This window comes from Homo sapiens, chromosome 1 (assembly GCF_000001405.40).
Source record: "Homo sapiens chromosome 1, GRCh38.p14 Primary Assembly".
Lineage (NCBI taxonomy): Eukaryota > Metazoa > Chordata > Mammalia > Primates > Hominidae > Homo > Homo sapiens.
This window is the reverse complement of record NC_000001.11, coordinates 58,964,464-58,991,012: the sequence shown is the minus strand read 5'-3', so window position 1 is coordinate 58,991,012 and position 26,549 is coordinate 58,964,464. Positions and strand designations below refer to the sequence as shown.

At 43.9% G+C, this 26,549-nt stretch overlaps 4 annotated features.

Annotated features, from left to right (window-relative positions):
- Positions 7,664 to 8,164: an enhancer, noted in NCBI's record as "NANOG-H3K4me1 hESC enhancer chr1:59448521-59449021 (GRCh37/hg19 assembly coordinates)". NCBI's record gives its function as "activates a minimal SCP1, AML or CMV promoter by ChIP-STARR-seq in naive and primed H9 embryonic stem cells {active_cell/tissue: H9 hESC(naive and primed)}" and the evidence as "EXISTENCE:reporter gene assay evidence [ECO:0000049][PMID:30033119]".
- Positions 8,165 to 8,665: an enhancer, noted in NCBI's record as "NANOG-H3K4me1 hESC enhancer chr1:59448020-59448520 (GRCh37/hg19 assembly coordinates)". NCBI's record gives its function as "activates a minimal SCP1, AML or CMV promoter by ChIP-STARR-seq in naive H9 embryonic stem cells {active_cell/tissue: H9 hESC(naive)}" and the evidence as "EXISTENCE:reporter gene assay evidence [ECO:0000049][PMID:30033119]".
- Positions 9,200 to 9,744: an enhancer, noted in NCBI's record as "NANOG hESC enhancer chr1:59446941-59447485 (GRCh37/hg19 assembly coordinates)". NCBI's record gives its function as "activates a minimal SCP1, AML or CMV promoter by ChIP-STARR-seq in naive H9 embryonic stem cells {active_cell/tissue: H9 hESC(naive)}" and the evidence as "EXISTENCE:reporter gene assay evidence [ECO:0000049][PMID:30033119]".
- Positions 22,272 to 22,431: an enhancer, noted in NCBI's record as "active region_1094". NCBI's record gives its function as "activates an Ori minimal core promoter by ATAC-STARR-seq in GM12878 lymphoblastoid cells {active_cell/tissue: GM12878}" and the evidence as "EXISTENCE:reporter gene assay evidence [ECO:0000049][PMID:35858748]".

The window sequence follows — 26,549 nt, the reverse complement described above, 5'->3', positions numbered from 1 at the left end:
ATGACTTAATTACAAGGGTAGCAGAGTTTCAATGAAAGTCTAATTTACCATCCTGACAGACGAAGGCCAGGGCCCTGGTCAGGAGGTGTGGGACCCTTAGATGTGGGCTAAGAATATCTGGGTTGAAGCCCTTGAGAACCTGAGAATGTTGACATTCCAGCTCTGCTTGTACCTCCTGGGCTGCAGAAGTGGCTCAGTCTTCCCAATTATGGGCTAACTCTTCCTCCTTGCTTGAAGATGACAGAGAGGACTCTGCCTGGCAAGGTAGAACCCTTCTGCTCCCCTTCCAGGCCAACAGACCAGAAATGAGGATCGAGTCACAACATAATTCTGCCAGGGACTTGCTGGGCTTCCAGGAAAGGGACTAGACCCTGAAGGAGCTGTAGGGCCTAGCCAACCTACACCAGCAGGAGCCAGGAGTGTGTGTCTAGAACTGGATCCTGAGGATCCAAGATGGGTGACATGGGGGTGGTGGGCAGGGGCGGGGGCAGGGGGTGGTGGTGATGGTATAGACAGTCGAATAATGGAGAATTTATTGATATGGGAGCACTCAGTAGTGTTACACAGGATTTAACATATGGTAAGGACCCTGAGAGACAGTCTCAATATGCCACTAGATTGGGTGTGGGGATCTTTCAGGAGGCCATGCTAGGGGCCCACACTAACTGAAGTAGACAAGCCAGGGGCGAGAAGGGAGGAAGAAATCAGAAGACTCAGAGAATTGAGCATGTTGGGGTGGATCAACTATATAAAGCCAGAGAATCTGACTTAAGGCCTTCAGTAAATATGGTCTGAGCATTCCTGGTGGGGAAAGGCACTGTGATAGTGTCTTGGGATACTAGGATCAATAAAGCACAGCACTTGTCCTCATGGTACCTATAAACTGTGATTATGAAGCAATGAGACTGATTTCTAAAAACAAAATCACTCAGAATACATGGATCCAAATGGGTGTGACTCTTGTAAGAAGTCCCTTTGGGAGACTCCAGACATCTCACTCATGTGGAGAAATCAGGGGAGGTGAAGTCACAGAGACTCCGGTTTAAGGGTTTAAGTCTAGTTTTGATTTCATTAGACCCACAGTTTAAACCTATAAGGCCTTGGGAAACTGTTTAATTTCTCTGCGCTCAAATTTTCTCATCTGTAGAACTCAGATGATAATATCTGCTCTGGTGGGGTGGTATCACATTTAAATTAAAGTAAGATCACATAAACAAAATGCCTGGTCCATTAAACACATTATAAACACCCAACAAAAGCTGGTTCCTTTTCCTTCTCTTATGATTCTATTTCTCTGCCAACTCCCTTTTTGTAAAGTGACATTTAAGTTTAGTCTAAGAGCCAAATAAGAAAATTCATCTTGTTTTTTCTTCCTTTTTTCCTTCCCTCCATGTCTTCTTGCTCTGGTTTATTTAACAAACATGGACTAGAGCACCCATTATGAGCCAGTCCCTGTTTCCATCACTCATCCTCTTCACCTGGTTCTGAAAGAGTTTTGACTAGTTTTACACAATGTATGTAGACTTACAAGGTGAATATTTGCCCCTCTAGGAGACACATGCCTTGGGTTCTGAAGCTCCAGGAAATGCTGGAGCCATAGCAGCTTCCCTGGAATAAGCCTTAGTCTTCACAATGTGATATGCTTGAGAAGTTTGCCCTCACTGGGTGTCTGACCTACATACCCGAAGTTCAATAGGAAAAGAAAGAAGTGACAATCCAGAACAAGAAATGCAAAGGTGCACTATCTCATGTGTCATAATCTCATATTTCATTTGTCATTATTATTAATGAAAAAATACTTAGTGTTTACAGTGGGTCAGATGTAGACCCTGGACAAGCGATGAGGGAGACAACCATAATGAGACACAGCCTCTGAGGGCTCCAAGTCCAGTGGTGGCAGCTGACTGGCTCATAGGTAACTATGCCACATGCTAGGAGACCTAACAAAATATGTTGGAAGCAGATGCCTCTGCCCAGGGGTCAGAAGGCTTCACATAGGAGGCAACCCTTAGCCTGAGACTTAAGGATGAAATGGATGGAGTGAGGAGGATGGCATTTCAGGCAAAGGGAACAGCATGTCCCAGGCACAGTGGCCAGAACAAGCAAGGAACATTTGGTTAACTAGTAGTTGTCCATCAGATGCTGGGAAACTGTAGGTTGGCTGGAGTACAGGAGAGGTCAGCAGGTCACACAGGGACTATGTGCCCAAATTTTAGTGTTATCCTAGTTTAGCCCTTGGTGTCATCCTAGTTTAGGACTGTTGTCCAAGCATTATAATAACAGCATTGCCTTTCACCCTCGAAAGTATCCCCATTTGGGCAATCAATTGCAGAGTCACCTTGTTTAAAGTAGGAGAGACATATGCTCCAATCTGTATTATAGGATGCTCACTCTAGTTGCCATGTGTACTAGCTTGGAATAAGACTAGAGGCTTGATGATGGCCTTTTAAGGTCTCATCCAGCTCCAGAATTCTCTGATCCAGATAGTTTTTAGACCACTCTTGGAATGGCACAAAACTGTCTTTTACTAATGCATAAATGCCTAATGAGCCTGCAAATGTAGCAGAGTTAAGAGGAGGGTGTTATTTCTATGGCCTGCGATGCTCTGGACAAGATTCCTGGAGAAGTTGGGTCTGGACCTTGACCATGAAGATGGATAGGATTTACACAGTCAGAGAAGTATAAAGTGGACATAGTGTGAGCCAAGGTGCAAAGGCAGGGATGATGAAGGAGTGCAATGAGAATGCCTAAACGAAACAACCCTCACCTAAATGTCAGCAACCATGACTGCCACCCAATAATAGAAGCAGCTTACAAGCATTTCCTGTTTTGTTATTTCTCCAAACTCCCTCCAAATCCCTGGGAAGTATGGAGGAAGTGCGTTAACCTGTGTGTTCCCAGAGCACTTTGAGCCCAGCCCTGGAAGCCACTCCATATGCACAGAGGGGCTCAGTGTAGAGTCTGCCTCCTCCGCCACTATAGGTTCCCAAGGGCAGCACCAAGCATCTCTATAGCTTTGAGGCTTGGAACAGAGAAGACACACAATAATGCTGGCTGATTAATTGACCAGAGAGAAAACAAAGGCTCAGAAAGGTTGAGTGTCTTGCCTAAGCCACACATGGTGAACAGTTGCTGGCAATGGACTTTGAGCCCAAGGCTCTAGAACCCTGTTCTTGCCACTGAACCATGTGGCCAACAGGTATAAATTAGTGCCCCAAACACAGACAGCATAGCATTGTGAGGTGGCACAGTTAGGAAGTGATTTTAACTACATAGGGTTTACGTCTATCTTTCAGCCTCTCTTTCCAAAGGGATTCCTCACTTTACACATCCCTGGGTCTTTGCATGTCCTTCCACCCAGCATGACCTTCCCCTCCATCTCTCCGTAAAATCTAGCACATCCTTCAAGGGGCAACTAGAGTGTACTTCCTCTGTGGCCGTCTTCCTGCCACCCTGACTGAGTGAGTAACCCCTCCTCTTTGCAGTCATAGCATCATGCTCAAACAGCAATTATCAGCATGTAATCTACATTGTACAGTGGGGCACTTACATAGTAGAACACATAGCAGAATCTTCCTTCTATGTCACACTGTGACCATTGAAGACAAGGGACTCTATCTTATTTATCTTTATATCCACAGCATCCAGAATAGCTCCTGGTACAATTGCACCAGGTATTTGATGAATATTTGTTGAATGAATGAAAGAATCTGCTTAGCCCTTATCCAGAGCTCTTGCTGTGATCCTATCCTAATTGTACCCTTATCTGGTTTTCAGTTGGGTTCAGCCCATGGGAAGCCTTAGCAGGAGATCAGAGGCTGGGAGGAGAGGGGTGAGCCATTAATTCCTCTCTCTGACTTTCAAGATTAGAAGGGAATGTGTTCGTTTACTAGGGCTGCCATAACAAAATATCACAGGCTGGGTGCATAAACAATAGAAATTTATTTTCTCACAGCCCTGGAGGCTGGAAATCTGAGCTCAAGATGTTGACAGGATTGGTTTCTTCTGAGGCCTCTATCTTCTCTCTGTGTCCTCACATAGTCTTTCCTCTCTACATATCTGTGTCCACATTTCTTCTTCTTATAAGAACACCAGTCATACTGAATTAGGGCCCACATTAATGACCTCATTTTAATTTAATTATCATATGGAGACCTTATCTCCAAATACAGTCACATTATCAGGTACTGGGGGATAGGGCTTCAACTTGTGAGTCTCGGAGGAACATGATTCAGCCCATCGCAGGTGCTAACGGCTCCCTGCTATTGTGAGTTCCTGGGTGCCAGTCCCTAACTCTGCCTATATCTCTGTAATAGTGTCTTTATAAATTCTATTTAGCTTGAACCCTTTACAGGTATACTGGCTGTTTTCTGGCAGTTTCTTGCAGATACAGATATTGACAGCTCTGGTGATAATAATCTACAACTACTTGTAAGTTTCTTGAGAAGAGGAATTTAATGCCAGCTGTGTGAGAAATTCAAAGTCGAGTAATAGACCCTTCTGTCTCTCTCTCTGCCTCATTCTTTTCATCTGCAAAATGAGATACTGACAACAGCCCCCCTTATAGAGTCTTGCCAGAGTCCATTGTGATAAAGGGTGGGACAGCTTTGCAAACTGGGAAGAACAGTAAGACTGAAGGTGTTTTGAGTCCACAGAGTAGATTCATTTTACAAGAAGCAAAGAATAGCTCTACAACTCTGGATTCCCAGGTTAGGAGCCTGAAGTTCAAAGCTGTAAGAATGGGGGGACATCTTAAAGGACCAGGCACTGCTGCTAACAACAGAGAGGGGTGGAATGTGGGCCATGGCATTTTTTCTGGTCTTCACTCAAGAGGGCCTCTTGTCAGGATAAGTTCTAGGAACAAGGGAGGGTCTCTTTGTTCCTCCTTGGTAATAACGACCTAGCTCATGGGTTTGCTGAGTATCTATGGAAAACAGTCCAGGCAGAGATCCTGGATACGTCTATTTATGATGACGTTGACATAGAGAGGACCAGTATGTTCATGCAAAGGCCATGTTTCCTGTTTCTATAAACATCTTCAATGTGAGAAAAGACTTTGATGGGTCCATAGGCACAATTTATGGCTTGATCTGTGCCAATATAAATCAAGCACACATACCATCCCAATGAAATCGTGCAGATCATTGATTTAGGGTAATGAGGACCTGTAAGCAGGGTGGATTCCAAGGCAACTTATTTTTGCACATTGGTTAACCTTCATCTCTGGGACCAGAAAGGGCCTATTTGGCCATGTAGTGCCATGAAAGGGGTGCAAGCTCTGGCTTAGACATTGTAGGCTCACTGCTAGCATGGGACCACATTGCTTAATACTTCAAGTCTTAGTTTCCTCCTCTTTTAAAACTGAGTTAATGGGGCTCCCTCAAGAGGCTGTTGGAGTGGGGGGTCAAATGGTGCTACTTAGTGATAAATGTCACTAAATTGCACTTAGCAGGTACTACTTTAGTGTTAGTTGATACTCCCTTTCTCTAAGATCCTGGGTTTGTTTTGTTGATGTCTTGGAATTTTAAATTGGTCTCCAAATTGGCAGAAGCTGAGCCAGTCACAGGAGTGACCTCCAAAGGCAACCTGAAGCACTTGCAATGTACTCAGAGATAATGAACATGACCCTAAGACCCCAACAGGAGCTCGTCTAACCGAGTGTTGAAGACCACAAACCCTTTCATTTGCAGTATTTCCTTTGGATGCTGATTCTCCTAACTACCTTTTGAGAGGAGTAGGTGGTTTACCTCTATTTTTAATAATAATTATAAAATAATAAAAATGGAATAATAACTTAGCATCACAGTAAGTCAAGTTGCAGTCTACAGCATTGTACTATCTCTTGGGAACTAAAATGGTTCATGGGTTACTGGGAATCCTTGATAGTTTCTAAGAAAGAGAGTGTTACAACCAACCCTCTACAACATAGTCAGATTGAGTTACCTGCGTCTTCCACGGGCCAATTATTGCCCAGCCTATTCAACATTTATTCTACTTTAGAGCAGCGGAAAATATACATGATGTATCTCCTGTCACTTAGCCTTGGGGATTGTTAGTTTCATGGATTCAGAAGATCTGACTTTGGCACCTAACTCTGCTACTCAGTCACCATGACACCACATACAATCATTTCCCCACTCTTGGTCTCAGTTTCTTCATCAGTAAAAAATCCTACCTGATTCAAAGGAGGGTAAGAGAAGACCCACTGGCCAGGCGCAGTGGCTCACGCCTGTAATCCCAGCACTTTGGGAGGGCGAGGTGGGAGGATCTCGAGGTCAGGAGATCGAGACCATCCTGGCTAACACGGTGAAACCCCATCTCTACTAAAAATACAAAAAATTAGCCGGGCATAGTCCCAGCTACTCTGGAGGCTGAGGCAGGAGAAGACGTGAACCCGGGAGACGGAGGTTGCAGTGAGCCGAGATTGCACTCCAGCCTGGGCAACAGAGCAAGACTCCATCTCTAAAAAAAAGGAGAAGACCCACTGAGAAGATAAGTGTATGGTAGTTTGCAAACTGACTATTGGGTCAAAGAAAAGGATGTTTGCTTTTTCTCCCCATACCTCATACCTCAGCCTCACCCTACTTTAGTCAAAGGCGCCAGCATCATCTACTTCCTCTTGATTTCTTCACCCACCACATGGCATTCACCAGCAAGCTCTACCAACTCTATTTCCTTAGATGTAGAGTGATTGTTTGTATTTGTAATATATTTATTTTGACATATTTTAACTTTGTATTCCAAAATTATTTGACTTATGGAAATGTTACAACACTTATATAAAAAATTGTGTTGTACCCTTCATCCAGATTTCCCAAATGTCAACATTTTGCTGGATTTGCTTCCCTGCCACCCCGTGTGTGTGTGTGTGTGTGTGTGTGTGTGTGTATGTGTGTGTCTCTACTGCTGGTCATTCAAGTTTTAGCTCAAATGTCTCCTCTTAAAGGTCATCTTCCTAAGCCCATGATCCCACCCTATGGCACCATTCCAATTGTAGTACTCTACAGAACACTGAACTCCAGCTAATATTTTTCTTGGCTCTTTATTTACTGGTTACCTCCCTGCTTCCCCCATGAGGATGGAAGTCTTATTGGAGAATTGGCCTTGTGTCCCTTGCCTTACTGCTGAATCTTCAGAGCCTAGAACAGAGCCTGTGCAGAACTGGCACTTAATCATTATTTTGCTGAATAAGTGAATTGGGGAACTGCTTGTGTCTGTCCTGTACAAGATCTTAAGTGGCATGCAGTGTGTTCTCTGTAGTCAAGGTGTAAATGTCCTTTGGAGCCTATACTGGCTGCAACATTCACTTCCATCATGAAAATATTTATCTGCTCTTGCCCTACAAGGGGATTACTTAACACACAGCTAACGTTTGGGTGTAAAGTCTCCAAGAAAGAGAAAGAAAATCAAAGAAACCACAGAAACGTGGACACACATAGGAAGAGAGTATGGCAACTTAGTTGTTTGCATTTGGGCTCTGGAGCTAGAATGCTTTGTTCACGTGCAGGTTTTGCCACTTACTGCTGTGATTTTAGACAAATTACTTAAACACTCTGTGTCTCAGTCTCCTTATGTGTAAAATAGAGATAATAAGAAATCTTCTTCATAAACTTGTTGCACAATCAAATATGTTTAAACTGCTTAGAGCCACGGCTGGCACATGGCAAGTGTTCAGTAAATGTCATCATGATAAATAGTTACATAATTGAGAGCAGGTGGTGCATACTGTCTTATAACCTTTTTTTAACTTGGCAAAATATTCTAAATATTTCATATCAACGAATAGTCTTTTACCACATGATTATTAAGGGCTAAAATTTTTCTGTCATATAGATGTACTATAAGTTTCCTGAGATATTTAAGTTGCTTCCAATTTTTTTTTATTATCAACAATACTACGTTGAACATCCTTGTACATATATCTTTTCACACATCAGCAACTATTTCTCCTTCTTGTATTCCTAGAAGTGGAATTGGTGGGTCAAAGGCTATGCATATTTTCTGACCTGAAATACAGATTCCAAGTGCCCAAGACAGGTTATCCCAACAGAGGCATTTCCTCAGAGACCCAAGTCCAGAGGCAAGGGCGGTTCCTAATCTCAGCCATTTTCCTGTCACTCTCTCCCTCTGCGCCAGCCAGGCTGCAGCCAGTGTGTCCAGCTGAGGCCACAGCAGGTTCCAATAATCCTGTTTACTCGGCTCTGGGCAGGAACACAACCTGGATGTTCTCTCTCCAGGGGATATCAGGGACTTTTGCTTTGAACTTCATCCAAGAGACTAAAAACAACCACATCCACCACGTCTGCTGTTTCACCACTGGCCTCACCCCTGTTGCTTGACCCTGTTGCCTGGCTGTGTTTACAAAAGCATCTACACTTTTTAACCCTTTTCAATCATGGCCTTCCCACCACTGTTACCCAGCAGAAAGCCTTCTGTTCTTTAAGACTTAGCTCAAGTGTCACCTCTTCCAGGAAGGCTGTTCATCTACGAACAATGCTTCCCAGTGTGGGGAAAGGAAACTCCTGGGTAGTGGAGTCAGACGCATCTGGGCAGAGCAGCAGCACACTCCCCTCCAGCTGTGTGCCCTTCTCCTTGGGTGTTTTCTTTCTAGCCTCAGCATCCTCTGCTAAACTCACAGGTAAAACGATGACCCTAACACAAACCTCTCAATGTCTTTGTAAAGTGGTGTCTTTAAGCTCCCAGTAAGATTGATACCAAGACAGGTGATTTTTTAAAAAGGAATGGTGTCCACGTGTTCTCACTCATGAATGAGAGCTGAACAATGAAAACACATGAACACAGGGAGCGGAACAACACACATTGGGGCCTGTCAGGGGTTTGGAGGAAGAAGAGCATCAGGATAAATAGCTAATGCATGCGGGGCTTAATGTCTAGGTGATGGGTTGATAGGTGCAGCAAACCACCATGACACATGTTTACCTATGTAACAAACCTGCATGTCCTGCACATGTGTCCCGGGACTTAAAATAAATTTTTTTTTAAAAAAGGAATGGTGTTTTTGTGCCGTTGGCTTATATGTTTAGTTTTTGGTCTGCTTGCTTATATTCCATGGCAAGAATGTCCTTTTCAAACTCTCCAAGAGAAGGAGGACACTCTTGTCTTTCTGACGGTCTGAACAATGCTTACATATCCTCTCCCTTATTACTCTGCTTAAAGAGAGATCCATTATTCCAGAAGGAGAAGGGTAGGCCAAGACTGGTGCTAAGGTTGAAAAGGTGGAATGGCCCGTATCTGGCAGGGATTCTCCAAGATGGCAAAATAAACTACAGTGGCTGCTGTTTCCAAAGATGGGGAGCTGCATCCTACTACCATAGAGCATCCCAACCCAGGAGGGGCAGAACCTCTGGAAAAGCAGAAGAAAAAGCCAAAAGACTTCACATGCAGAGTTGTGGTTCTAGCAGTTACAGGGAAAGCTGCCCTTGGCCTTTGACTAGCACAGCAGGAGGGCTAGGAGAACTGTCCCCTTTAAATGGGGCACAGCACAGCACAGCAGGAGTAGATGTAGACTCTCCATTCTCATACAATCCCCCTTGGCTACAGACTTTTGAATATAGGACAGATATATTTTAATAAAGAGAATCTGTTATCCTAAAGAAAATTCTCTAGGTGAGCCAATGTATAAGAATTCAGGGTCACCATGTGTTATTATTGTTTTGGGAATTTGGATTTTTTTTCTTTTTCTTTTTCTTTTTTGTTCTTTTCTTTTCTGTTTTTTTCTTTCTTTCTTTCTTTCTTTCTTTCTTTCTTTCTTTCTTTCTTTCTTTCTTTCTTTCTTTCTTTCTTTCTTTCTTTCTTTCTTTCTTTCTTTCTTTCTTTCTTTCTTTCTTTCTTTCTTTCTTTCTTTCTTTCTTTCTTTCTTTCTTTCTTTCTTTCTTTCTTTCTTCTTTTTTTTGACAAAGTTTCACTTTGTAGCCCAGGCTAGAGTGCAGTGGCACAATCTCTACTCACTGCAACCTCCGCCACCTGGGTTCAAGCGATTCTCCTGCTTCAGCCTCCCGAGTAGCTGGGACTATAGGCACACACTGCCACACCCGGCTAATTTTTGTACTTGTAGTAGAGACGAGGTTTCACTGTGTTGGCCAGGCTGGTCTCAAACTCCTGACCTCAGGTGATCCACCCCCTTTGGCCTCCCATGGCTCTAAGCAGTTTAAACATTTTACACCCAAATTGCTGGGATTACAGGCATGAGCCAGCATACCCAGCATGGATTTTTTTTTCCTTTTTATTGCTTAAGGCTTTAATGTCTATCTCAGTGGCCAGGATATTGAAGCATATACAATTTGGAGAGCTTTCTTTCAGAAAACAATTACAAATACAAAATGCCTATGGCCACTCCGTTACTCAGCAGGAGGGGAAGTGTGATGGAGACAATGTGGGAGTGGAAGGAGATGGCAATCTTCACTCTTAGAGACTAAAATATTCTATTTTGGCAAATTTTATAATAATATCTGACAGCATGGACACATTGCTAGGATCCCCCTCGGAAGAAGCCTGTGCAATGAAGGATTCAGAAGTATAAGCTTGTTAATGTCACCCTTATAGTTGGGACATCTTTATGCTGAAGACTAAAGACAGACCCTTATCTTAAACTCCATTCCTCGTAAGTCCCCAGGATTTGGGGCAACCCCTACCCCATATAACAGATAGAATTTCCTACCAAATTGGGGGTGGAGGTGGCAAGCCAGATTTATTTGATTTAGAAAAACACATAAACCTGACACTTTTGCACAAAAGCATCATAAAATATCTTAACTACATCATGCTCAGAAAATACCTTTATTTTTAAAAGGCAATCAAACAACATACTGAAGAAAATCAATCCCTTCAAGGGTCTCAGTTTCCCCATCTCAAACATGGAGATGACATCACCTACCCCATTGATTTGGTGTAAGAGTAAGATGAGCTACTACTCAGAAAGACCCTGGTACAGGAGAAGGCATTATTTTCCAAACATCTCTGTGATCCCTTGCACTTGCCTGAGTTGGTACCAAGAAGACAGAGATAAATGGAACCAGCTCCTTTTCTCAGGGCACTTATGGTCTGATCTCTCTAAGCTACTAAAGAAGTTAGCTGTGCAAAACTGAGCTTTGCAAAGCAGAGGAGGGGACAGGCTGGTGAGTGTTAGCTCACAGATAAGAGAAGCTCCCTTAGACTGAGGCCCGGAGAGTTCTAAGAGCGTTGGCTGGCTTTGGGAGCAAACTTTCATACAGCAGTCTGGTGGAGTTCATCTCAGGGCTAGATCTGCCTGGCTGTGTGTTCTTTGTAAGGTAAATCACTTACCTTCCGAGGGCCTGAGTTTCTACTGGGATTTGGTGAGAATGTCAGAAGGACTAACTGAGTTAAGCATCCAGCACAGAACAGGTGCTCAATAGGTGGAAGCATGTTCCGTTATATCCATTCCTACCCTAGTTGAGATCCTTTGGTAAAAATCATCCTCTAGTTCCCTGGGAAGTCATTTCTGGATCCTTCTTTGCTGCAAGAAGTCAATTTCAAGGTCCAAGCAGAGGGCTCAGTGTGCTTCCCTCTTGCACTTAATTCCACTGAATTCTATTTAAATGAAGCATCCTCCTTTAAGGAGGAAATTCAAACCACTTCCTCTTACTAGAGAGTTTTTGCAAGGTCTACTTTTCTTAACATCTGGCCAGATGGCCAGCTGCAAAGAGTAAGAATCCTTTGATTTGAGGGCGGTTTTGTGTCGCTTTCTCCTGGTTCCTGTGCTGACTCAGGCCAATGGGTCTGACCCACAAAGCTCAAGTCTGCCATCCCAGAGCTCTTCCCCATCATCCTCCCTGTGGGTTTCTTGCCATTAGCAACCTCCAGTCTGCCAGGCAGTCTGCTGCCAAGACAGCAGGCCTCACTCCAGTGATTTCTGTTCAAACCCAGTTTGTCTCTTGTCCCTCGATGGCTTTCCCCACTCCATCGTCTGTGTCTTTGTTGCAGCTGCCTCATGAGGGTGAGGGCCACCCTGATATCATGGCTGAGTACTGGACTGAGAATCAGAAAACCTCAGCTCTGCCAACAACATTTGCAGCCTCCGGGATGTCCCTAAGCTGCCATTTCATCATGTTCAGAATAAAGGGGGCTGGATCAGATTAGCCCAAAGGGTCCCCCAGGAAACCGTCAACACCCCATCCCCCCCATCCTACTGCTTTCTGTTGAGAACTCCGCTCCCTGTTCATTGGAACATCAAGGTTAAATTTTGGCATGTCTCTTTAAATCATTCACTGAGAACTTGCTATAAACCAGGCCTATGTGAGGCTTAAACATACTTAAATGAATGACACAGTGCCTACTCTGAAGGAGCTCACAGAGAAAAGCATGAACTTTTGGAGATTATAAGAAAGGTGATATGCTAGGAAGGAACACCTCAGAGGCCCCTCAGAGGTGTCATCCCAGATGAAGATCCACATTGAATCTTGAGGATCAAGTTGGTCTCTGTGCTCAGAGGAGGTAAGGGAAGGGTGTTCCAGGAGGAAAGAATAGCATGTGCAAAGATTGAGCGTTGGTTCAGAGATTTAGAATTAATTGACTGGGGCTGCCATGCAATGTTCACGTGTGAGCAGCAGAAGGGCCCCAGAAGGAGGACAGAGCATACAGTAGGACCTGGGGCCTCCTCCTGCAGAAAGAGAAACATCTTTCTGGTGGTCATTTGTGGAAGTCTCCAGTGCAAATCTGATGTCAAGGAGCTCACCAAATCCAGAAAGCAGAAATAACTTGTTGAGCCTGGGACTCTTAGTTTCACATTAGAATCTCTGACTAAGACTAGAAGGAAACAGTCTTAAAAGTAAGACAAATAATTAGAGTTTTAAGAGCTAAGCCTACAAATTAGGAAGAATGGGCAACTTGAATGTGAGATGTGTACCTTTGTCCTCCCTAATTAAAAGCAGACTTTGTTTTCTGGTGGAAGATAGATTGAAATCCCCCTGCCTGCTCAATAATATGGAAAACTACTTCAGAAGAGCCAGTGTTTTATGTTATAGGAAACCAAATTTAATAAGATAACAGATGAGAAAAGAGTGACGTCAATATGACTTTATCTGGGAATGCAAAGAAATAGATTGTTCATTTAGGCTGACATTGTTCCAGTCTTAATTGTAGTAGAGGAGAAAAGTGAAATTTTTCCATCTCTTGATCCTCTTTGCTTTCCCCTACCCTAATCCTGATATATTCACTCTGAAAAATAAGTGCTTGCTCAGCAAAAGAGATGAAGTTCACTTCTCTTCCCTCCATCCCTTCCCAATGTAGGAGGGAGTTGATATTTACTGATACCTGCTCTGTGCTGGCCCTTTATCTACATTTACCTTTCACCATAAGACATGATCCTACAAGGAACACACTATTTTCTCCATTGTAAAGATGAGGTAACCAAGGCTGAAAGAGATGAGGTGAATTTGTTACAGTCACACAGCTCAGGTAATACTACGTGTGATTGTTGAGTTGGGATTTTGACTCCCCTGTTTTTGCTGACACCAAAGCCCGTGCTCTTTCCACCTGTCCCTCTGGATTCCTATAATCCGGAGATTTGCTTAATGGAGAGTGGCTGTCTATGTGTAGTATCTGTGGATGAAGAGCTTTAAAGAAGTGGAATACAATAAGCTCTGTTTAACCATTCCCTCATTTTTTAATTTAACAAATAATTATTGGGCACCATGGTATGCCAGGTATTATTCTAGGCACTGAGAATACAGCAATGAATCAAACAGGTAAACCCCTGCCCTTGTGCAATTCACATTGTATGGGCAGAACAGTACAGTGGGTGTGAATAAGAACTCAGGAGGCAGATTCCTGGGATCATGTCATAACTCTGCCACTTGTGAGCTGTGTGACCTTGGACATACTATCTAACCTCTCTGTGCCTTAGTGTCCTCATCTATATAAAGGAGCAATAGTAGTATTCTCTTTTATAGCCATTGTGAGGATTGAATGAGCTGATATTTGTAAAGTAGTTAAAGCACATGAGTTTTGTTAAATGAATAGTGGAGTTTCACAGGCAATAGCAAAGTAAGTAAAATATATAGCATATCCTGCAATATTAACTGTTGAAGATAAGAAATAAATCAGGGAATGGTGATAGGGTATGCTTGTGGGTTTGCAATTTTAGATAGGGAGGCCGGGGAAGACCACACTGAAAAGGCATCATTTGAAGGAAGATTTGAAGGTCAATGAGCCAAGAGAAGCTGTGTTTATCACTTTCATTGATTGTTCAGAAGGCACAGTATTCTGTGGCCCTGTCCCTGACTCTCAAATGTCAATTATCCATTTGGGAATATGATTAACAAATTGCATTCTTATATTGTGATGTGATATAAATTATCCATGGGTTTGTAAGACAGTCATCCTCTAAAGTGTTCTCAGAGACCAGTGAAAAAGCTGTGTGCCTTGAAAAATAAAGTCATTTCTGGAATATTCCTTTTAATAAGAACAAAATGACTGAAGCCTACAAGGTGTACTCACAGTCCTTATCTCATAGATAAAGCTTGCCCCGGCTGGCTCCAGGGCCTGTACATGGTGTACCTATATTCTGCTCTTGACTTTCTCTCAAACCACATCTGGCTAAAATCCTTTGGTCTTGGGAGTGGAGGTGGGTACAAGGAAACTGTTGAGTTTAGTTCTCTATTGAGTGAAAACAATCAAATCTAGCCACATTCCTGTTGCCCTGACCATACAGGAATACCACTCAAATGTACTTTCTGGATGCCAGAATGCTTGAAGAACAATTTCATTTTGATATATTCCCTTTATGCTCTCTGAAAATTGTCTTTTTTATGCTTCTGAGGCCCACAATTTAGGGACATGTTTAACAAATTGCAACCTTGTTATTATGATGTGAAATAAGAACACTGGCCTGGGAGACTGGAGATAAGTCTTCAAGTCCTGGCTCTGCTGTTAACTCCCACGTGTCTGTACATGTCACAACTTCTGTCTCTGGCTCTAGTTTCTCTGTACACACAGTGAAGCGGTAAGGAGGAAGACACACAAACAAACACGCACACACACACACACACACACACACACACACTGCTCTTTATTGCTTGTCTTCTCTGGGCCAGGCATATCACATATATTATTTCATGCTAAAAATCACAACAATCCTAAGAAGTCAGTATTATTATTATTATACTTACAGGTATAATTTAGTAAGTGGGAAGAGGCAGAAGAATATTGGAACTCAGACCTGACTCTAGCTATTAAGCTGCAATTGCTTAGGCTTTTGCTGTAGACTGAATGTCTGTGTCCCTCCAAAATCCATGTGTTAAAACCTAACTCCAAGGTAATGGTATCAGGAGGTGGGGTCTTTGGGAGGTAGTTAGGTCAAGAGGGCATGACCCTCATGAGGGAATAATCCTCATGAGTGGGATTAGTGCCCTTATAAAAAAGACCCCAGAGAGGTCCCTTATCCCTTCCATCATGTGAGGATACAGCAAGAAGATGGCGGTCCATAAACCAGGAAGTGGGCCCTCACCAGACACTGAGTCTGCTGGCAACTTGGTCTTAGACTTTCCAGCCTTCAGAACTGTGAGAAATAATTTTCTGTTGTTTATAAGCCACCTAGCCTATGGTATTTTTGTTATAGCAGCTGAACTAAGGCAGCTTGCTAAGCATCATTCCAAGACTGCAATTCCCTGATTTTAGAGACTGTAGGAACTATTCAGTCTGGCTTCCTAGGGAAGTCACTCCATCCCCTCAATTATTTGGTGTGAATTGTAGACAATCTCTCTTTTCCTCCAGTGCCTATGTCATGGGTTTTATTCCAGCTATGAAGACTCTCTGGCAAAGGGAAAACACAATGGCAGATTGGCATTCAAGTGACAGAAACTGTCCAGGGCAATTATCCATTCCATCATCTTGCCCCTGGAGGCAGACCAGACTAAACACAGGAACAGTGCTTTAGAGGAGGGTGAAAAGCCTTCGTAGGGTGACCCCACTGGCCTTGAAAGAAGCCTGAGTCTTCAGGGATCAGCCTTGTCCTCTGGCATCAGCCTTGAGACCGTTCTCTGGAAATGCTTTTCCATGTCAGTGCATAGGGCAGACAGGTGATGTGGTCTCAGGAAGAAACACTAAACCAGGAGTCAAGAGAGCTGGCCCTGTCCTGAAGCTCCCTCTGATTCTCCACGTGACTTTAGGCAAATTGAGTCCCACATTATTACAAAGAAAAGGTGGTGTAGGGTAACAGGCAGCTTAGAGTTTGGGAATAAAGCATCTGGGTTTAGATACTGGTTCTGCCACTTATCAGGGGGATATGAGATGTGGCCTTTCAGCCAAGCCACTTAGCATCTAAGCTGGAGTTCCTCAGCTCTAAACTTAAGTCTGGACTGGAAGACCAAGCATTAGGCTTCGCTGCTTACTAGCTGTGAGGCAGTGAGGCAGTAACTTAGCTTCTCTGGGCGTCAGCTTCCTCATCTGTAAAATGCATAGCATAATAAAGGCTATTGTGAGAATTAAAGATCATGTATACAAAGTGTCTCACAGAGCGTGGGCCCTCAGTACCTTCTAGGACCAACCCATTGTCCCTCTCCACTCAACGTGGATCAAACTGTCCAAGAAATGCTTCAGAACTCCACATCATTTAGAAAGGTGGTCTGTTAGGAGCCAGACTATGTTCAGAGACTAGTTTGCAAATTCCATCTCTATGAGCTAACTCATTCAAGACTAGCAATGGAGGTGTACAGCTGGGTTCCATGCCCACTCAGTGGGTTGTACAGAGTTCTGTATCACTTTGGACGTTCCACAGAAGAAGTAGGTGTGGATATAACAGGGCAGTTCAACAATGGTGAGGCCTAAATGGACAATGGGACTTCCTATTTATAAAAAGCAGAAATCAGGTCATTCTGAGTCCAGCAATTGGGTGGCTTCCTCCAGGTCAAGATCCCAAGTCTGGGCTTTGGCATACTCAAACAGAAAGAAAAGATGGGTTCCCTCCATTCCTTTCTGGTTTAATTTTATTTTCCTTTGTGTACCTGACTCAAGCAGAGAAAAACACGATGGCATTCAAAAGTTATGTCTATCATTGTTAACATTCTCAGCTGAGACCCAGAGAGGTCAGAGAAGGAACAAATACTTACCAGATGCTCCCTTCTAAAGAGGTAGGCAGATGACATGTGCTGGCAGTAAGGAAAGTAGATACTATCCCTCCCCTCAGAAAGCATAGACTCAAGGGCAAATTCAGGTGAATTGTATGGATGATTCTAAGACATTCTTGTGTTGAGACATTACTGTATCCAGTGGATTTATGTCAGGGCTTGCATTGCCTTCTCGTCTGCAGGAGAGCCGACCCCTTGTCCAGGTGTCCAATCATGCTTCAGGATGTCACAGGGGCTCTGATTAGCTGTTTGGGTGGGGTCCTATCAGGGTGCAAATGATGAAAAGGATCACTTCCTTCTGGGGTCAGGAATTGCATGGATAATTGCATGCACCCTGATAAGACCCCACCTGAACAGCTAATCGGAGCCCCTCTGACACCCTGAAGCATGATTGGACACTTGGACAAGGGTCTGCTCTCCTTCTGAAGACAAGAAGCCAATGCAAGCCCTGATATAAATCCACTGGATACAAAAACGTCTCAACACAAGAATGTGTTAGAATCATCCTTACAATTCACTAGCCTGGGAATAGTGCAAACCAAAACCAGACAAGAACTCTGACCTCAAAGAACATCCACTCTAATGGAGAGAAAAAAAGACATCTGAATGAATGCCCATGGTAATTTAGCATAAATTAAGTGATGTGGAAAAAAAATAAAATGGGAATGAGAATGAATGTTTGTTGGTGGCGGAGGAGGACTGCTTTCCCTAGAGTGTTTAGGGAAAGTCTCTCTGAAGAGGTGACACAGAGTGAGACCTGAATGATGAGAAGCAGGCAACCATGGGGAGATCTGGGGACACTCTGCAGGCAGGAGGAACTGCAAAGGTCCTGGGACAGGCATCAGCTGGTGTATTCAAGAGACAGAAATCAGGCCATCATGGCTAGAATGGAGGGAGCCATGGGGTATATATTTAGTAGAAGACCCAGAAGGGCCCATTCACATGCTTCAGAGAATGTAGCTTTTCCTGTGTGAAGAGGATTTAAGGACAGAATGTGGAATAAGGCAGAGGTTTTACTGTCAGAGTTAAAAGGGTAGCTTTCCTGGGAGAGTCAGCTTGATGTAAAGGGGATATCCCCACTCTGCCTCTTCCCAACTGTGTGAACTTGGGCAAGTGATTTAATCTCTCTGGACCTCACCCTCCTCCTGCATACAGTGGAGATGATGATATCTGCCTCACAGACCAGAAGTGAGACTAGACAATAAGCACTGGCTCATCCCCTTCTCCTGGTAGATAGTTAAAAAAAAAAAAAAATCACCCTGGGGACCATGGGGCATCTGGCATGCTCTTGAAGCTAGTCACTAGCAAGGTTTTGACAACTTATTTCTTAACAAATAGATCATCATCTGTCCATCTCAATGAATGGTATACTGTTCAAGCAGTACCCGTACCTCTTCAGGATCTGCACAGTTAAAACTACTGGGCTGCCCTCAGGTGATGTAGGTCCATCCAAGGACCACACTTTGATTAGCAAGGATTTAGAGCCAAGGGGCTTCCATAGCACAGACAATATTGGATCCACCACCAAAAGGTTACAAATCAACAGTATGCTTTTAGTAGTTTATTACTGAATTCATTAGATAAATAAATGTTCCTACAGTGCCTACTATGCACTAGACATCATTCTGGGAAGTAGGATTTCAGTGGCAAACATTGATCAGGGCTTGTTCTCAAACAACACTTATCCTGTAGCAGACAGCCAATTAAACAAGCAATTAAGATCATCTAAGTGCAGAGCCTGGGGGTGTCCAGTGTGTTAGCTTGAGAACGTCAGGGAAGATCTCCTAGATGAAGTGACACTAAGGTGGAGAGCTGGCCCTGAGGAGGTGTGCAGGCAGAGGGAACAGCATCACCAGGGGCCAAGGCCACCCAGCCAGTCAGAGGCACAACCCTGATTTAAATCAGGTCTCTTATCTAAAGACTTGCTCTTACTAGTATCTTCCATGCTGTATGAATCAAGTCTTGCAAAAGAGCAGCTGCTAGCTGTCCTTCCCCAGCGATGTCAGAGCAGCCACTCCCGACTGGAAAGATATCTGTTCTGAGCAGAGGTCTCGGCATCACCTGACAGGCATGGCCATTACGAAATTTGCCTCCACACCAGACATGTGGCACCACAAACACCATCCAGGCATTGCTTCAAACAACCTTCCTCCCAAAGACTCCTGACTGGGAAATGTGATTGCCCTCTGATTGCTGCTAATAATAGCCTTATTTTTTTTAAGCAACAATGAACTTTGAAACTTGGGTGATGGTAGCTGGTCACATCAGCTTGGGTGAAGTTCATCAGAAAGTAAAAGTCCAGCGACCTAGAAGTTTCCAGGACTCTCTAAGAGGGAAAGATACAGAAATTCACCTGAAACAAGGACCCTCTATGTGGCAGACAGTGTACACGCCTTATTTACATTAAGTAGAGGTGACACAGACCTGGCATGAAACTTCGAATGTAGCTGTGTGACTTTGGGCAAGTCACTTAACATCTATCAATCTCAGTTTCCTCATCTATTAAATGGGAGATGGATTCCTACCTTACCTGTCTTATGTGTGATGATGTTCATAAAATGCTAAGCTCAGTGAGTGGTACATTGTCAGCACTCAGTAAGTGAGGATGGGAAATAGTCTTATTACACCCCAGAGAGGTAAGAACAGATGAGGAGACAGATGCAAAAAGGTTAAGCGATTTCTCTAGTCTCCAAAGCAGGTAAATGATAATTCAGATTTGAAGTCAAGTCTACCTTCAAATCCTAGAATCTTTCTTCAGTTCTTCATGTTCTGTTTCTTTTAGAATTATACCCTTTGCCATCTGACTTTGCTGTGCCTCCCCCTAGAGTGGGCAAATGTGTCTTCCTGTGCAGTGATATTGGGCTTGACCATTGACTTGCCCTGGGCAAAGTTATGGGGGTGGAAACAACAGCATGACAGTTCTGGGCTGAGACCTCAAGAAGCTTGATCTGTTTCTACTTATCTCTTGCTTCTGCTCCTGTCTCATGTCTCATTTACCACCATGAAAAGGGCAAGTCTGAGGTTCTTTCAGCCTGGCCCCCAGAATGAGACAAAAGAAGCAGACTCAAACTGACCCAAAGCCCTGGGCCTGCACCTTGAACCTGAGGTATCCAGCCAACTCTCAGTGAGAAAAATAAATGCTTGTAGTTGTAAGCAACTGAGTTTCGTGTGGTTTGTTACCCAGCATGATGGTGGCAATATCTGACTAATACACTGTCATAAAAAAGTACAGCCTAGCCAGGCCAGCACTGCAAGTATTTATTGAGTACCTGCTGTGTGTGACGGAAGTAAAACAGAATTTAAAATTATTTCTACCCATGAAGATGGTTTTATCATTCTTCCTATCTCTTTTGCCAAACATTGTCATGACATAGAGTGGAAAACCACAAATCTTTATTTTATTTTTTAAAAATGAAATAAATGTTTATATGTATTTATATTGTTGAAGAGAAAAGCATAGCTTCATTAAAAGATAACGAGCAATATTGAGGCACATATTTTCTAGGAACTCAGCAGTGGATATTAGATTAGCCTACTGAGAATTTGTAAGAGTTGGCTAGTCCTTAAGGGATGGGAAGGATTTAAAGAGGCTGGACATAGCCCTCCAGCCAAATCACACAGCTTTCACCTTCAGGTTTATTTGCTGGGGTGGAGAAGAATGTGACAGACCTGAGTTCAAATCTTCAGGCTGCCAGTTTCTAGCTGTGGGACCTTGAGCAAGTCATCCATCCCTGACCTTCAGATGAGCTCCCCTAGGTTTCTTTCCTGTACCTGGAAGGGCCCCCTCCAGACCTTTGTATGCCTGTAAAGTCCTACTTGACTCCTTCTCCCCCAAGAACTAAGGCTTCTCCCTCTTTTGTCCCAGCCACACCGGACTGAAATGATCTGGGCCCAAGGGTCCTCTGGGATTCTTTTCCATGCATGTGTCTTTTTCTCTTTTTTCTTGGAGGAGAACCACAGCTTTATTAATAACACTTTAAAAATTTTTATACACATACAAATGTATAATTCAAATATGACAAATATAAAAATTAGTTAATTCTAGGTGGTGGAACAAATGGTAATTTGTCAAGTTGTCTGTGCTTTGTTTTTAATATTTTTGAAACTACATGTTTACTGTAAAATAAAGCCAACTATTATATTCATTTAGAAAACAATATTCCTCTTCCTCATTCTCTCACCTGATTATCACTTTTGTTTGTTTGTTTGTTGTTTGCTTTAATTTTTTAATTTTTTTATCTTTTAAGTTCTGGGGTATAAGTGCAGGATGTGCAGGTTTGTTGCATAAGTAAATGTGTATCACAGTGGTTTGTGGTACCTATCAACCCTTCACCTAGGTGTTAACCCTAGCATGCATTAGCTCTTTTCTCTAATGCTTTCCCCACTCCCCTCCCCCAACAGGCCCCAGTGTGTGTTGTTCCCCTCCCTGTGTCCATGTGTTCTCATTGTTCAGCTCCCACTTATGAGTGAGAACATGTGGTGTTTGGTTTTCTGTTCCTGTGTTAGTTTGCTGAGGATAATGGCTTCCAGCTTCATCCATGTCCCTGCAAAGGACATAATCTCATTCCTTTTTATGGCTGCATAGTATTCCATGGTGTATATGTACCATATTTTCTTTATCTAGTCTATCATTGATGGGCATTTGGGCTGACTTTTTTCTACAGCAGCCACTGAGCTAGCTCAGAATGGGGCAGCCCCTTTAGCAACCCAGGATGCCCAGTGCCAATCTCAGTGCCTGGCATGGAATAGACTGTCAGTAAATAGTTGCTGACTTGAACTAAACTGAATGGAATTGCTCCAAATATTCACCAGGAATAAATTATTTTAAAGTACAATTTTGACATTGTTTTTAAAAACGATCTTAGAGCTAAATACATAACTAAAAAAAAAAATACATGCTGAAAAACACATCCACACAAACAAACATGTATGCAAACAAACATTTGCCAAACACAACTCTAGGAGGCTTTTGCAGACTTGTCTGCCATTTAAGGCCTGTAATTTCCCTCTTGGCTGACACTGGCTTTGGCCTGGGCCATGTTTCACAGACTCCTGGCAGGCAGCCTCGTTGGGCTTTGCTTAGCTTTTTTTTTTTTTTTTTTTTCTTTCATCAGACTTGAAACTGAAGCGACAGGACTTTCTGAAACCTTCTGTCAGCTGTAGCTGCCACGCTTCATGTAACCTCCTTACCCCTCCCAGGTTCTGTGGCTTTATAAATGTGTCTAGAGGTCCAGGAACAAGGTAGTAAACAGTGGATTCCTTCTAGAAGGAATAAAGAGGGTTCAGGAGGCACCACCCAGTCTGGGGACTGCCTGTGAACCAGGCCAGGCCCCTACTCCCCCAGAGCAGATTAGATCTGATGGTCTGGACTGCTGGCCAACTTTCAGCATGAAAAAGGTAGAGATACTGGAGAGGAAGTAAAGGAACATGAAAACAAAACCAAATGAACTCTGTTGTGCTGCTGACATGGGTAAAACTTGTATGAACCTAACTGCTGGAGGAAAGTGGGGGCAGCTGGTTTATTCTACGGAGTTCTAGTGTGAGATGCAGCTCATGTTTCTATGCCAATTTCTAATGAGCAAGCTACCCCACTTCTCTGAGCCTCATTTCCTTATCCATGAACTGGATAATATCTACCTTGCAGGGCCAATGTGAGGTTGAATGAATTCATGTTTGTAAGGAGATAAGCGCTTCATAGAAGGTTAATAAATAATAGTTTTTTTTATGGTAAAAGAGCCCCCAATCACAAAACTAGAAGACCCCATTAGAGGGATCCAGTTCCCACTCCTCCCTACACCACTTAAAGTGTAGCCTTCTCCATAGTTGCCTCTCCCAGCCCACGCTCATAGGCTCCCCCAGGGAGCCTGCTGCATCCTGGGGAAATTCTCGCTACTAGAAAGTTTTTCCTTGGGCTGAATCAAAATTGATGTCTCTGCAGCTTTCACCTATTGGGCCTTCCCCCTCAAGAACACTGAAAACAAGTCTATACCCTCCACCTCTCTGCAGTCTTCAGCATAGAGGACAGCTCTCAAGCCCTCTTTGAGGTGTCAACAGAAGTCTTGAGGCTTTAGTTAGGTATATACACATACAATATACATATATACTATATATATACACACATATATATACATATATATGTATGTATATTGTATGTGTATATGTGTATGTATATATCTATATATGTATGTGTATATGTATCCCATACATACGAAGAAAGAGAGAGTGTAAGGTATATTTATATACACTCATATGTAAGTATGTAGAGGCAACTACAAGGGCCTCTGTAGGCAAATACATGTGTACCTATCCAGGACTTGCGAGGTCCAGGAGGGCTTCTTAGAGGAGGTAATGTTTAACCTGAGTAGGCAGTGTAAAGTGCATGTGCAGTCCCACAGCTAATAGTGAGGAACCCAGCCTCAGGAGCATGCCCCTCTGCTGTAGCAGTGGGTGACAGTTGGCATCAACAAAGTGTGTGAAGCTAGATATCATTATTGTCCATTTGTAATTGTTTGTTATTATCCAAATTAACCTTTCTAGGCCCAGTTTCCTCAGTAGCCTTGGCCCATTCTTCTGACAGCATGTTTCTTGATTTGCCTCTGTAATAAACAGGGAGACCTGGGTTTGAGTCAGGCTCTGTCACTCACAAGCTGGGCAGCCACTCCTCTGGGCCTTGGTTTCCACATTGCGAGATGAGAACCTACTGCCCAGGTTGCTGGTGGATTGAATGAGGCATCTTTGGAAGGTGGCCCAGCACATGGCAGATGTTTGGCAGAAGCTTACTTTCTTTTCTAGTTTGACAAGATGATGCCGGCTGATCTGATATTAGATATTAATAGTTGATGATGGCATAATGTGTTATACCTTCTGAGCCATTTGCATTTGCCTAGAGAGTACCAGCCAGCTTAGTGATATGTCGTTGCCCAGTAAGCTTAGAACCCTGGGAGTGAGTGAGCACTGAGGCCAAGGAACTCACCCTAGAGAGGAGGAGAGGGTCTCAGGGGCTGACTGCGATAGATGCTACAACAAAGTTTGGGGCACACAAAAGGAAGGAGGAATTTCATTCAAAGTGGAGTGATTGGCAGAGGCTTCATGATGGAGGTGGCAGATGTCTCTGATGGTGGCCATGCCATAATCTCAAATAGAAACTATTGCATCAGTCTCCTAAATATCTTCCCTGGGCTGCACTCACTCTCTAGAACCTGCTCTGCTCATGAAAGATAAAACGATCTTTCTAAAATTACAAATCAGATAATGGCACTTCCCAGCCCCCAAATCTGCCATGACTTGTCTTTGTTCTTGCAATAAAATCACAACCTCCCCACCCCCATGGCCCCTGAGGCCACCTGTGATGGAGCCTGCTTCCTCTGCAGCTCTGCAGTCAAATAGGCAGGGCCTATGGGAGAAGTGCCCACATGGGACCTCTGCCTGTCTTCTTGGAAGGCACCAAGATACCAGGGGGCAAGGAGAGGGGCAGATTTGTGTTCTGCTCTTGGCGAGGGTGGAGTGTCTCTAAGGTACTTTGCAGACCCTCCGTGGAAGTACTGATCAGAATCATGGCAGGAAACAAGTCTTACACAGAAGGGCTTAGTTGAAAAGAATTTAGTAACAGGATTGTGTTTAGAGGTCAGGGCAAGGTGAAGGAAGCCAGCAAGAGAAGTTGATGCACTCCCAAGCTAGCAACAGTGGAAGGCCCGTACCTCTCTAAGGGGGAAGGGGAAGTGAAGGAATGTGTTCTGGGATGGCTGAGAGAGCTGGAGCTAAGAAAGAGAACCTGCCCACCCCTGCCCCGGGAGTTACCACCATACTGGTCACAGCCAATGCAGGGACTGCAGCAAGAAAGGAGTTCAGGAAGGAGGGAGGCATAGACCCCTGGGTTCTCTCTCCTCCCAGCCTCCTATCTCCCACCAAAGCTTCCCTTTGACCAAATCTAGCTAGAAGTTAGTGGATAAGGGAGTCTGAGTGATGTATTATAGTTCTTAGGCATTAGCTCTCTAGGGCTCAAGGCCTGCAAAGAAGGGCAGTAAAATGGATTGAATAGGAAGGACCACAAAAAGGAATTAACAACACAGCACATGTCCAAGCATCCTGCAAGGAGAATAGGAATCACTAACCCTGAGTGGGTAAACTCTTCCCCAAGAAAGAGAATGCCATTTAAGGGGAGAAGTGAGCCTGGCTGACAGGTAGCTTTCCCAGCCAGGCTGCCGTGTTCACATAGCATCCAGGTCCTGTGTTCAGTGCATCTGCCAGAATATTCCACCCAGCCACAGATATTTCATACTTTGGCCCACACAGAGTTGTGGAGGGCAAAGGAGTTGTTCTCTAATGCTGGACTTTGCCCATTTTCCCCAGGACCAAGATGTGGGCAGGTGTTCTGGGTGCCACCACTAGAGAGGCAGAGATTATTGAGATCCAATAATAAAAATAGTGAGAACAGTAACAGTGGTAACAATAATACAGGATATTATTGTTATCACTGTAACAGTCACATGAATTAAGCTTTTCCTATGTGCCCAGGAGTGTGTTCATTCTATTAAGTTATGCAATCTTCTCCCAAACCCTAGGAAGTGGTGGCTATTATTAATCCTATTTAAAAGATGAGACCAAGGCCCAGAGTGGGTAAGTAGCTTGCTGAGCCCCCTCAGAGTGGATGGAGAAGTCAAACCCAGGTCTGCTGCCTGCAAAGGTAGGCTCTTAGCCACCATGCCAGACTGTCCTCAAAGACACCTGGAGCCCATAGACATATGAGAGAGAAGCAGAATTCCTGCCTATGGCTTATGCAATCTTTCATGGTCAAATGACCAAAGCTTGCCTCTGCAGAGTAGTCTTGCAACACTGGCCCTGCACACTTGACTTTTCAGCTGTGCTAATCTCTGTGGTATCTAGAGCATGCTCAGCTTTCTCTCACCCCCGGGACTTTGCACAGGCTGTTCCCTTTGTTGAGGACATTGCTTTCCCTCTTAATCCTCTCAAGGCTTGACTAGCTCCACTGAGATTTGCTATCACTTGCTCCACAAAGCCCTGCTGGACATTCCAAGTCCTGAATAGGGGCTCCAGTCCTGGATAGGGGCTTCTCTTGGGAGACCTCACAGCCCCTTACAATGCTCCACCACAGGACTCAGCCTCTGCAAGCCCTGTAAAGGCCAAGACATGCCTTTTTTTTTTTTTTGCTTATACCTCTGTGTTCCTAGATCCCAGCCCAGGGCCTGGCACCTAACAGGGGCCTGATAAAGAGGTAGATAAGGTAGTTGAATGTTGGCACAGACTCGGCCACCCACAGCCTGGCACACACCATGGCCCACACACTGCCAACCACACCTGCTACTACAGGAGGGAGGAGGAGGGGAGCAAACAGCAGCCAGGATCTGGAGGAGGGGCTCCAAGAGCAGGAGCTGCTGAGCTGATATCCACACATGGAAAGGCTTTTGATGGGTATAGTAGAAAGGAAAA